The sequence below is a fragment of the Homo sapiens genome, chromosome 10 (assembly GCF_000001405.40).
Source record: "Homo sapiens chromosome 10, GRCh38.p14 Primary Assembly".
In the NCBI taxonomy this organism is placed as follows: domain Eukaryota; kingdom Metazoa; phylum Chordata; class Mammalia; order Primates; family Hominidae; genus Homo; species Homo sapiens.
Genome location: NC_000010.11, coordinates 101,729,118 through 101,741,905, shown reverse-complemented (window position 1 = coordinate 101,741,905; position 12,788 = coordinate 101,729,118). Strand labels below are relative to the sequence as shown.

Here is a 12,788-nt window from a genome sequence, read left to right as displayed (position 1 = left end):
AAAATACATCTTTTTTTTTTTTTTTAACCAAAATCCTACAAACCACAACATGATTCAAAGGGAAAAGAACTTTAGATGAAACTGTTGATGACTCTGCAAAGATGTGCCAGGTGAGCCCATTCAGTGCACCAATAATCTGAATATGGCAATCCTGCCTCAACTGTAAGCTGAGACCGACACGGTTCAAGCCATAAGGAGTCAGACCTCAGTACCAGCTTCCCTCGGGCAGACATTCTTGCCATGCTGAGTAGTTGGCTGATAGCTCCATGTATAATAATCCCCGTGGTCCATGCTTTCACAGCAAGAAAATAAATCACAAACACCAACTACACTCCAACCCTTGCTCCTCAGCGCCTAGGATCACAGTCCAGCTGATTCTGACTCTTCAGAGACCCCACTCCATTTCCTTCTCAGTCTTCTCCAGGCTCACCCTCAGGTCCCACCAAGGCTCCATCCTGTCTTCTTCTCAACGGACTCCTCTTTTCCTATGGCTCCCCCTCAACGCTTCTTTGTCCTCCTCACTCTCCATCCTTTTTCAGTCTCGTCGCCATTTCCTATCTCTCTCAACCTCTTCCTTTCTCTTACCTTTTTTTTTTTTTTTTTCTGAGACGGAGTCTCGCTCTGTCGCCCAGGCTGGAGTGCAGTGGCACGATCTCGGCTCACTGCAACCTCCGCCTCCCGGGTTCAAGTGATTCTCCTGCCTTAGCCTCCCGAGTAGCTGGGATTACAGGCGTGTGCCACCACACCTAGCTAATGTTTTATTTTTAGTAGAGACGGGGTTTCACTATGTTGGCCAGGCTGGTCTCCAATTCCTGACCTCAGGTGATCCGCCTTCCTCGGCCTCCCCAAGAGCTGGGATTACAGGCTTGAGCCACTGCACCAGGCCTCTCTTCCCCGTCTTGATTGCTCCCTCCTTATCTCTCCCGCCGCCATCACCTTTCCTTCTGTTCGTATTTTCCCTCAGAGCGTTCCAAGCGCTCGTGTGGAGCTGGGGAGGCCTTCGGGGCACCTCCCGGGAGACAGCCAAGGATCTAGGAGTCAGGCCCAAGGTTGAATTTGGCTCCGTCACTTAACAGCTGTGGAACGATGAGCAAATTGACTCAACCTCCCTTAGGATTAAATGCACGTAAAGCGGCATAGAGCGAGCACTCGCTAACCATTCCTCATCCTTTTCAAGGCCACATTTTCCAAGGAGAGCGTTTTCCACAGGTCCCAGAACCGCCAGTCATCTCTGGGGTCTTTTCTACAGGTCCTGTCCTCATCTTGGTCCTCCCCAGCCCCGCACGCATTCATTCTCTCAGCCTCTGGGGCCGTCTTACAATTTCCCACCCTTTCCACAGCTCTGCCCCTCTCCCCTTCTCCTCCCACTTTCCCAACGATTTCGGGGGCCCTCCCAACCAAGAGCCTTGGGGGCAGGCACGGGTGGTACCCGGAGCCGAAGTCCTTTAGGTTACGTGGTTCCTCAGTGACCAAGGTCGCCCCAGCAACAGAGAGACCCGACTCCCCTGAGCGCCTTCTGATTGACTGTCCTCTCAGAGGAGATTTCCTAGTCCCGCTGCTCCCTGCCGCGCAAGCGCACGAGTCACACGGCCCAGTGGTTTGAGCCCCAGGATGTGTGGTTTCTCCTGGGTCCGGAGCTCAGTTTCAGTGTTTTGGGATTTTTGTTGTTGTTGTTTTCTAGACGGAGTCTCGCTCTGTCACCTAGGCTGGAGTGCAGTGGCATGATCTCAGCTCACTGCAACCTCCGCCTCCCGGGTTCAAGCGATTCTCTTGCCTCAGCCTCCTGAGTGGCTGGGATTACAGGCGCCTGCCACCACGCCAGGCTAATTTTTGTAGTTTTAGTAGAGACGGGATTTTGCCATTTTGGCCAGGCTGGTCTCGAACTCCTGACCTCAGGTTATCCACCCACCTCGACCTCCCAAAGTGCTGAGATTACAGGCATGAACCACCGCATCTGGCCTCAGCTTGAGTTTTTAAATTTCTCCCTCTCCCCTTGCTTCTCTGTTCCTCCTTTCTCATCCCTTACCCTCGACTCCTCTCCCTTCTCCTCCTCCCTCTCCTCTCCCTCTTTTGAAAGTTTTCTGTATTACCTAGTCCCCAGTGCTTGCTAAAGAAACCTTTGAAAGTACATAAAAGTGAAAATAAGCAATTTTTTTCCACAGCCATGCTGCTCCTTCCTGAGCATGTCTAGGTAGGAATGTGAGCTATATATGGATTATTGTGAAAACATTGGTATCTGGCTGTAAAAATAATAGAAATAGTGATAATAATAGATAAAATGTATCTATATTTTCTGTGTGCCAGGTACTATGCTAAGAGCTTTTCACATTCAGCACTAGTACTGTCATTGTTCCCAATTACAGATGAGAAAGTGGGCTTACAAAGGCCAAGTAACTTGCCCTATGTCTTGCAGTTAGTACAGAAATGGGAGAGCCAAGATTTGAATTTGAGTCTGACTCCAGAGCCCACGTGCAGCCTCTCCTCTGTGTGGAGTTAAGTGTTTACACACAGTGTCCATTCTCCCTCTGCTTTGGGAACAGTTCCTCTGGGCATTAACGCCACTATCAGTGATGGCCTCTGTGCAATATTTGGAGACAGGGGAACTGGTGAATATTTGGAAATGGGAAATCCCAAGTGAGGACTCGATTCACTCCTTTGGAAAAGGCCTCACTGAAGCCTGAGAGCCAGCCATCCTAACCTGTGTCCAGGGACCAAGGACTAGCCCCCAGAGAGGCTGCCCTTGGGGATGAGGGGTTTCCCTGTAGCCCCGGATGCAAATGGTCGGTTGTAACAGTGGCCATCTGTAAGACATGGGCTAGATACCAGGTGATTTATAGGCATTATTTCAATCACCTCACAATAACTGTACAAGGTGGGTGAAGTGATTTGCCCAAAGCCAGTGTTGTTAGGATTCAAACCCAGGCCTGTCTAATGCTGGAAGCTGTGGTACATTTCCATTTTGCCCTTTGATTTTCTGTAAAAGTATAACAGGCATTAAAAGTGAGCCTCTGTTACATGCCAGGTACTCTACTGGGCTTCTTACATATATTATTGAATTGAATCTATGCAGTAATCCTTTTGGAAGGATATTATGAGCTGGACACAGTGGCGCACATCTGTAATCCCAGTTACTCAGGAGGGGAAGATGGGAGGATCCCTTGAGCCCAGGAGTTGGAGGCTGCAGTGCACTATGACTTGCCTGGGAAACAGAGCGAGATCCCATTTCTCTCTCTCACTTTTTAGAGATGGAGTCTTGCTCTGTTGCTCAGGCTGGAGTGCAGTGGTGTGACCGTGGCTCAATGTAATCCTCCTACCTTGGCTTCCCAAGTAGCTGGGACCACACGTGTGTGAACCACACCTAGCTAATTTTTTTCTTTTTCTTTTTCTTTTTTTTTTTTTTTTTTTTTTAGAGATGTGATCTTGCTGTGTTGCCCAGGCTAGTTTTATTTATTTATTTATTTATTTTGAGATGGAGTCTTGCTCTGTCGCCCAGGCCAGAGTGCAGTGGTACGATCTCAGCTCACTGCAAGCTCCGCCTCCCAGGTTCATGTCATTCTCCCGCCTCAGCCTCCCGAGTAGCTGGGACTACAGGTGCCTGCCACCACGCCCAGCTAATTTTTATTTTTAGTGGAGACGGGGTTTTACCATGTTAGCCAGGATGGTCTCGATCTCCTGACCTCGTGATCTGCCCACCTCGGCCTCCCAAAGTGCTGGGATTACAGGCGTGAGCCACCGCGCCGCCCGGCCTGCCCAGGCTAGTTTTAAACTCCTAGCCTCAAGCAATCCTCCCACCTGAGCCTCCCAAAGTGCTGGGATTACAGGCATGAGCTACTGTACCTGACATTTAAAAGACTTTTTTTTTTTTTGTATTTTTTGTAGAGACAGGGTCCCACTATGTTGCCCAGGCTGGTCTCAAACTGCTGGTCTCAAGTGGGCGTCCCTCCTCAGCCTCCCAAAACGCTGCAATTACAGGCATGAGCCACCATGCCCAGAGCCATCTCTTTTTAAAAAATAAAGAGAAGCCGGGGGCGGTGGCTCACGCCTGTAATCCCAGCACCTTGGGAGGCCAAAGTGGGCGGATCACCTGAGGTCAGGTGTTCAAGACCAGCCTGGTATACGTGGTGAATCCCCGTCTCTACTAAAAATACAAAAATTAGCCAGGCGTGCTAGTGCATACCTGTAATTGCAGCTATTCAGGAGGCTGAGGCAGGAAAATCACTTCAACCCGGGAGGCAGAGGTTGCAGTGAGCTGAGATTGTGCCACTGCATTCCAGCTTGGCGACAGAGCGAGACTCCATCTCAGCAACAAATAAATAAATAAATAAATAAAGAGAAAAAAATAAGGATATTATGATTTCCCTTTTACAGATGAAGAAGCTGAGGTTTAGAAAAGTCCAGTAATGAGGTTGGGCGCGGTGGCTCACGCCTGTAATCCCAGCACTTTGGGAGGCCAAGGTGGGTGGATTACCTGAGAACCTGAGGTCAGGAGCTCGAGACCAGTCTGACCAACATGGTGAAACCCCATCTCTACTAAAAATACAAAAATTAGCTGGGCCTGGTTGTGGGCACCTGTAATTCCAGCTACTCAGGAGGCTGAGGCAGGAGAAATGCTTGAACCTGAGAGGCGGAGGTTGCAGTGAGCCAAGATCTCGCCATTGCACTCCAGCCTGGGAGGCAGAGCGAGACTCCGTCTCAAAAAAAAAAAAAAAAAAAAAAAAAAGAAAGAAAGAAAGAGACAGAAAAGGCCAGTAATTTACCCAAGGTTGCATACTCTGTAAAAAGGAATAACAAAATTCACATTGGAATTTATTGACTCCTAAATGCATGCACTGTCTTCTACCCCGTGTCAGGGGCCAAAGTTTTCAATTTGGATTGAGGATTTGGACCAGTGCTGGCTTTAACCCAGCAAGCACTTGTTTAGGGAACAGGTAAGAGCTCAGATTTGTCTGAACTTCCCTCAGGACCCCAGGTTCTTGCTTTGACACCCACTATGGGGTAAACCAGAGCAAAGCCCTGAGAGGAGGCAGCTGTTCCTCTTTCTGCAAGAGGGTCACAAGGAATCTCTGCGATGTTGCCATTGTTGTGCTTTAGTCCCCCCATCCTGTGCATCTAGGTCCTGCTGAGTCTTTGGCTCTCTTGATTTTGTTTAAAAGAAAAATACCCCATGCCACAGACTCACAGGGGTGGAAAGGACTTTGAAGGAGAGTTATTAGTACAACCTTCCATCTGATGCTTCACGGTGCCCCAGTTTCTTCCTCTGTCTCTCAAGATTTCACAAGGTAGGAGAGGTAAAATAGTGGGGGTGGCAGCATAAGAACTGGAATAAATAGTTTATGGTCCTGAACACTTTAGATCAGTAGTTCTTTTTTTTTTTTTTTTTTTTTTTTTTTTTTTTTTTTTTTTGAGACAGGATCTTGTTCTGTTGCCCAGGCTGGAGTGCAGTGACACAATCATGGCTTACTGCATCCTCGACTTCCTGGGCTCAAGCAATCCTCCCACCTTAGCCTCCCAAGTAGCTGGGACCACAGCACACACAACCACACCCAGCTAATTTTTGTATTTTTTGTAGAGATGGAGTTTTGCCACGGAGATTTGCTCAGGCTGATCTCGAACTCCTGAGCTCAAGCAATCTGCCCGCCTCAGCCTTCTAAAATGCTGGGACTGAGCCACAGTCATGAGCCCCACACTTGGCCCCTAGCAGTTCTTCAAGTGTGGTTCGGGGACTCCTGTGAATCTCCAAGATCTTTTCAGGGGTCTGCAAGGTTAAAACTATTTTCTTATTAATACTAAGATGTTATTTACCTTTTTCATTTTCATTCTTTCACAAGTAGACAGTGGAATTTTCCAGATGCTACACAATATGTGACGTTGCAACAGATTGAAGAAGCAAATATGAGAATCATATCTTCTATGGAATCAGAAACTCAATTTGCAAAAATGAAAAACAATGTGACTCTTCTCACTATTCTTTTCGGATATACAATTATGTTCAATTAAAATGTTATTTATGTCATATATAATGGTTTATTATTTTTAAAAATGAATTAACTGTCTTTAAAAGTTCTCAGCTTTAATTTCTGAGCAAATACTGATAGATATTATCCACAATAAACAAAAGCTTTGTGGTGTCCTCAATACTTTTCATGAGTGTGAAAGGATCCTTATACCAAAAAATTTGAGAACTGCTGGTTTAAATAATCATTAGCATCACATTGACATTATAGGAGACCTAACTGTGAGTGCTGAAAAAGAATTTCTAGAATCATAGGCCTCACTAATTGGAATTTCCAGTGAGAAAAACCAGTAACAGCTAGGTCCTCTCACCCCAACAGGACCCAGAGACAACAGCATCAAAGTCTAAACCTGGCTGGGCATGGTGGCTCATGCCTGTAATCCTAGCACTTTGGGAGGCTGAGGCAGGCGGATCACTTGAGGCCAGGAGTTTGAAACCAGCCTGGCCAACATGAAGAAATTATGTATTTTGTATTTCTACTAAAAATACAAAATTAGCCAGGCATGGTGGTGCATACCTGTAGTCCCTGCTACTCGGGAGGCTAAGGCAGAGAATTGCTTGAACCCAGGAAGTGGAGGTTGCAGTGAGCTGAGATCGCACCACTACATTCCACCTGGGCAACAGAGTGAGACTGTCTCAAAAATAATAATGGTAAAATAAAATAAAAGTCTGAACCAGAGTCTGGCTAAGCCCTATGATATCGAACATATCAAAGAGTACATGCATTTCTAGAAATGATTAGGGATGGGATATTTTATGCTTTTTGGGGGGAATGATTTCATTTAGAACATGATAAGGATCTGTACATTTATTCAATGTGCCAAGGATTTGCATGTAAACCAGATTCACATCACAAAGAAGATTGATAAAGTTACTCCTATGCTTTTTTTTTTATTTTTTGAAATGGAGTTTCACTCTTTTTGCCGAGGCTGGAGTGCAATGGTGCCATCTCGGCTTGCCGCAACCTCTGCCTCCCGGGTTCAAGCGATTCTCGTGCCTCAGCCTCCTGAGTAGCTGGGATTACAGCCATGCACCACCACGCCCAGCTAATTTTGTATTTTTAGTAGAGATGGGGTTTCTCCATGTTGGTCAGGCTGATCTCGAACTCCCGACCTCAGGTAATTGGCCAGCCTTGGCCTCCCAAAATGCTGTGATTACAGGTGTGACCCACTGCGCCCGGCCCCCCATGCTTTTTAAAAAATTAACAAATAATAATTTAGATATTAATTTAAATAATGTACATATTTATGAGGTACATATTATAGTGATCAGATCAGGGTAATGTTCAGCTTTTTTTTTTTTTTTTCTCCTGAGATAGAGTCTCACTAAGTTGACCAGGCTGGTCTTGAACTCCTAGGCTCAAATGAGCCTCCTGCCTCAGCCTCAGTTGCTGGGATTACAGGCAGGCACCACTGCATCCAGCTTTTTTTGTACCTTGTTTCAATCTTATCAAGATATACTTGAGGCATATTAACTTGCATATATATAACGTGTACAATTTGGTCAGTTTTGACATACGCCTATACCTGCAAAACCATTATAACAATCTTATAACAATCAAGATTATCAGCATTTCCATCATACCCTAAAGTTTCTTCGTGCTCCTTTATAATCCATCTCCCCTCTGTTCCATCCCTAGGTAACCACTGGTCTGCTTTCTATCACTATTGATTAATTTGCATTTTCTATCATATTATATACACAAAACCATACAGTACATACTCTTTTGTTGTCTGGCTTCTTTTGCTCTGCATGATGATTTTAAGATTCACGCATGTTATTGTTGGAATGAGATTTGAACTGAGTGACTTTGGGGAAATTGCTTAACCTGTCTGTGCCTTAGAAAAGAAACAATAAGGCCAGGCGCAGTGGCTCACACCTGTAATCCCAGCACTTTGGGAGACCAAGGCGGGTAGATCACAAGGTCAGGAGATCGAGACCATCCTGGCTAACATGGTGAAACCCCGTCTCACAAAAATTATTAGCCAGGCGTGGTGGTGGGCGCCTGTAGTCCCAGCTACTCGGGAGGCTGAGGCAGGAGAATGGCGTGAACCTGGGAGGTGGAGCTTGCAGTGAGCCAAGATTGCTCCACTGCACTCCAGCCTGGGAGACAGAGCAAAAAAAGAAAAGGAAAGAAAAGAAAAGAAACAATAAATAATTTCTACCTTGCATAGTTGTGAAGATAAAATGAGTAATGTAAGTAAATAAAACATGTAGCTCAGTTCCTGGTACTTACTGGGTGTTTGACAAATAGTAGCTATTTTTGAATATATGTTTGGGGTAGGAATTGAGGAGGGTAACTAGTACAGCATGGGGTTAGGGGAGAATCTTGTTTAGACTAATTTGATTCATAGCTCAGGTTTAACTATTTGTTCAGCATTTCTCACCTGCTGCACACCTAAAACTTCCACACATGCCAGCCTAACCAGGAAATTTTTCTTCAGTGAGGCCTGGGGACATGGAAATTTGTAGCTTTGAAAGCCCTGCCAATTTGGAGTTACCCTGTTGGAAAAAAAATAAAATCCCACTAGGCTGCTTTGAAAAGGGAAAAGGTGTATTCCTCCTTCATACTCATTGATTTCAAGTCCAACGGGCCAGATTTGCTCAAGCTTGGAATGAAAACTCTTTGCTTGGGGATGGAGCGAACTTCAGAAGGTTCCTGGCCAGAGGAAGTAGGAAAGCAAGGTTTTCTGTGTGACTCCTTGCAGCCAAACCTTGAGACAGACGTGGTCAAGCTGAGAAGTTTCTCAGAGAATCCAAACGGGATCCCCTGCTTGTCCACCTTTCCATGCACCAAGGGCCATGGGGACCTGTTACAATCACGTTGTGTTTGCTACAGGCAACTGCAGCTTCTTGCATCTTCATGCTACTGGGAGGTATCTGCTTTTTCCTAAGCCTGAAGACACAGCCTGAGAGAAAAAAAAACAAAAACACAAAGAGGACATGAGAGAAGAAGAGAGAAGGGAGGGTGAGAGAGGGTTGAATTGATCGCCGTCTGTTCAGGTCTAGCTGGAAAACACAATGAAGTGAAAAGGCTTCTTGGTTGGTGTGCTTCTCTTCATTTTTTTTTCCCAGGGTTTGAAGTGGGGAGGGAGGGATGGGAAAAAAAAAAAGAAAGGAAGAGGAGGAGGACTGGCATGGCCTGAGCCCAAGCAGAAGCAGCACGGAGCCTTCAGCCTTAGGAAGGGGAAAGTCATTTGGGGATTCTGGTACCCCCTTGGGTCATCCCTTATTGACCAATCCCTTCCTTCTATAAGCGACTGTGGCTGAAGGTGATGCTGCCAATATTGCATTTTAAATGAAGAAAAACCAAGTGGCTGAAGCCTACTCATCTCTGCCTTAGGAAAAAACAAAACAAAACAAAACACCATACAATTTTTCTTCCACTTGGTGGTGGGATGAGTGTTTATTCTGGTTTTATTTTTTTCCAGCATAGAGTATTTGCCAACTTTTATCATGTTCTTAGTTTGTGTTAAACATTATCCTAAGTGTTTTACATGTGTTATCTCCATTAATCCTTGCAACAACCTTGTGAGGTGTTGGTTCTATCATTAGTCCCATTTTACAGATAAAGAAACAGAGGCTCAGAAAGATTAAGGAAAGACCCCAAGGTCATGTAACTAGTAAGTGGCAGAAAAGGCTTCTTCCCCGTCAGTCTGGTCTCTTAAGCCTGCACTCTTAGGTGCTGCACCATGTGGATATTTAGATATAGTCTCTCAAATAGCTCACAGTTTATTATTACTAGGGGAGGAGGGTTGGAGCTAGGGAGGAGGGAGATGGATAGTCACACATGGAAGCAGCCACAGTACAATGTGTTATAGGCAATCCTAGCAAGTTGAAATAAGTTCTTGAAATAAAGACCAAAGAAGAGAATGATTTTTCTAGAGGCCTGGGATGATAGGGAAAACTGTCTTTTTACTTTTTAAAAGGTTAATAGGTGACTTTTATTTTCTTATTTACTTATTTTTTTAGAGACAGGGCCCTACACTGTCACCCAGGCTGGAGTGCAGTGATATGATCATAGCTCACTGCAGCCTAAACTCCTAGGCTCAAGTGATCCTCCTGCCTCAGCCTCCTGGGTAGCTGGGACTATAGGTGCATGTGCCACCAAGCCCTAATAATTTTTTTTTTTTTTGGGAGAGAATGGGCCTTGCTATGTTGGTCAAGCTGGTCTTGAACTCCTGGGCTCAAAAGTCCAAAGTGCCTTGTCCTTCCAAAGTGCTGGGACTATAGGCATGAGCCACCACACCTGGCCAATATGTGACTTTTTAGAAGGCTAAAAGTGCCAGAGAAGATCTGGGGAAGAAAAAGGGGTTCGCGGGGTGGTTAAAAGTTCAAGCTGTAGAGCTTACTGCCTGGCATCCAACTCAGCTCTGCCACTTAGTAGCTCTGTCAAGTTACTTGCCCCCTCTGAGATTCATCTACAAAATGAGGACACATGCCCATGCCCAGTGGCTCAAACTTGTAATCCCAGCACTCTGGGAGGCTGAGGCGGGTGGATCACCTGAGGTGATTTGGGAGGCTGAGGGGGACGGATCACCTGAGGTGATAACTCAACAACAAAAAGACAAACAATTCAATTTAAAAATGGGCAAAGCAAAGCCAGGCGTGGTGGCTCACACCTGTAATCCTAGCACTTTGGGAGGCTGGGGCGGGCAGATCACAAGGTCAGGAGTTTGAGACCATCCTGGCCAATATGGTGAAACCCCGTCTCTACTAAAAATACAAAAATTAGCTGGGTATGGTGGCGTGCGCCTGTAATCCCAGCTACTCTGGAGGCTGAGGCAGGAGAATTGCTTGAACCCGGGAGGCAGAGGTTGTGGTGAGCCGAGATTGCGCCACTGCACTCCAGCCTGGGCAACAGAATGAGACTCTGTCTCAAAAAAAAAAAAAAAAAAAGGGCAAAGGGGCTGGGCATGGTGGCTCACACCTGTAATCCCAGCACTTTGGGAGGCTGAGGTGGGTGGATCACTAGGTCATTAGTTCGAGACCAGCCTGGCCAATATGGTGAAACCCCATCTGTACTAAAAATACAAAAATTAGTGGGTGTGGTGGCACGCGCCTGTAGTCCCAGCTACTCGGGAGGCTGAGACAGAAGAATTACTTTAACCCAGGAGGCGGAGATTTCAGAGAGCCAAGATTGTGCCATTGCACTCCAGCCTGGGTGACAGAGTGACACTCTGTCTCAAAAAAAAAAAAAAAAAAAATGGGCAAAGGACTTGAATAGACATTTCTCCAAAGAAGATATTCAAGTGGCCAGTAAGCACATAAAAAGATGCTCAAGGCCAAGCGCAGTGGCTCACACCTGTAATCTTAATACCTTGAAAGGCCAAGGCACAAGGACGAGACCAGAAGTTTGAGACCAGCCTGGGCAACATACCAAGACCCCATGTCTACAAAGAATATATTAGCAGGGCCTGGAGGCACATGCCTATAGTACCAGCTACTTGGGAAGCTGAGACGGGTGGATTGCTTGAGCCCAGTGAGCTATGATTGTGCCACTGCATGCCAGCCTGGCTAGAGTGGTTACTATTTAACAAACAAACAAGCAAACAAACAACTCAGTGATATGGTTTGGCTATGTCCCCATCCAAATTTAATCTTGAATTGTAGTTCTCATAATCTCCATGTATCATGGGAGGGACCCGGCGGGAGGTAATTGAATCATGGGGGCGGTTACCCCCATGCTGTTCTCGTGATAGTGAGTGAGTTCTCGCGAGATCTGATGGTTTTTTTTTTTTTTTTTTTGAGACGGAGTCTCGCTCTGTCGCCCAGACTGGAGTGCAGTGGCGCAATCTCGGCTCACTGCAAGCTCTGTCTTCCGGGTTCATGCCATTCTCCTGCCTCAGCCTCCTGAGTAGCTGGGACTACAGGCGCCCGCCATTACGCCCGGCTAATTTTATTTTATTTTATTTTTAGTAGAGACAGGGTTTCACTGTGTTAGCCAGGATGGTCTGTGTCTCCTGACCTCGTGATCCACCCGCCTCGGCCTCCCAAAGTGCTGGGATTACAAAATGCGTGAGCCACCACGCCCGGCTGATGGTTTTATTAATATAAGGGACTTTAACCCTTTGCTCAGGACTTCTACTTGCTGCTGCCATGTGAAGAAGGACATATTTGCTTCCCCTTTCACCATGATTGTAAGTTTCCTGAGGCCTCCCCAGCCCTGCAGAACTGTAAGTCAATTAAACCTCTTTCCTTAATAAATTACCCAGTCTTGGGCAGTTCTTTATAGCAGCGTGAGAAGGCACTAATACACCCAGAAAATAACAAGTGTTGGTGAGCATGTGGAGGAATTGGAGCCCTTGTGCACTGTTGGTGGGAATTTAACATGGTATATATTAGATGCTATGGAAAATAGTATTTTATTTATTTATCCCTCAAAAAATAAAAAATAGCCATATGGGTACCATGTGACCTAGCAATTCCACTTCTGGGTATATACACAAACAAATTGGAAGCAGGGTAACAAGCAGCCATTTGTACACCCATGACCATAGCAGCATCATCTACAATAGCCAGAAGGTGAGAGTGACCCACATGTCCATCGATGGATGAATAGATAAATAAAATGGGATATATTCATACAATGGAATATTATTCAGCCTTTAAAAGGAAGGAAATTCTGATACATGCTACATCATGGTTTGAGGCTTTTCCTATCCAATTCTGCTTCCTTCCTCATTTGTCTTTCACAGGGGTTACTGCCCCCAACCACCAAAATCTTATTTTGTCTCTGCATCTGCTGCCCAGAGGACCCAACTGACACAAAGTT

At 45.8% G+C, this 12,788-nt stretch overlaps 2 long non-coding RNA genes across 12 annotated transcripts in view, besides 1 other annotated feature; both read left to right on the top strand.

Moving 5' to 3' along the window:
* LOC105378458 (uncharacterized) overlaps positions 1-6,015 on the top strand; it is a 31,140-nt gene extending 25,125 nt beyond the window's left edge. Inside the window, exon 4 of the long non-coding RNA XR_946255.3 lies at positions 5,832-6,015. This is a non-coding gene — a long non-coding RNA (uncharacterized LOC105378458). The remainder of the gene's footprint in view (positions 1-5,831) is intronic.
* Positions 11,601-12,100: an enhancer, noted in NCBI's record as "H3K27ac hESC enhancer chr10:103489563-103490062 (GRCh37/hg19 assembly coordinates)". NCBI's record gives its function as "activates a minimal SCP1, AML or CMV promoter by ChIP-STARR-seq in naive H9 embryonic stem cells {active_cell/tissue: H9 hESC(naive)}" and the evidence as "EXISTENCE:reporter gene assay evidence [ECO:0000049][PMID:30033119]".
* LINC03046 (long intergenic non-protein coding RNA 3046) overlaps positions 11,764-12,788 on the top strand; it is a 28,166-nt gene continuing 27,141 nt past the window's right edge. For 6 of the 11 annotated variants that reach the window (NR_186555.1, NR_186553.1, NR_186547.1 and 3 more), the window contains exon 1: positions 11,764-12,189. This is a non-coding gene — a long non-coding RNA (long intergenic non-protein coding RNA 3046). The remainder of the gene's footprint in view (positions 12,190-12,788) is intronic. The other 5 variants (NR_186554.1, NR_186551.1, NR_186549.1 and 2 more) reach the window with 1 other exon arrangement.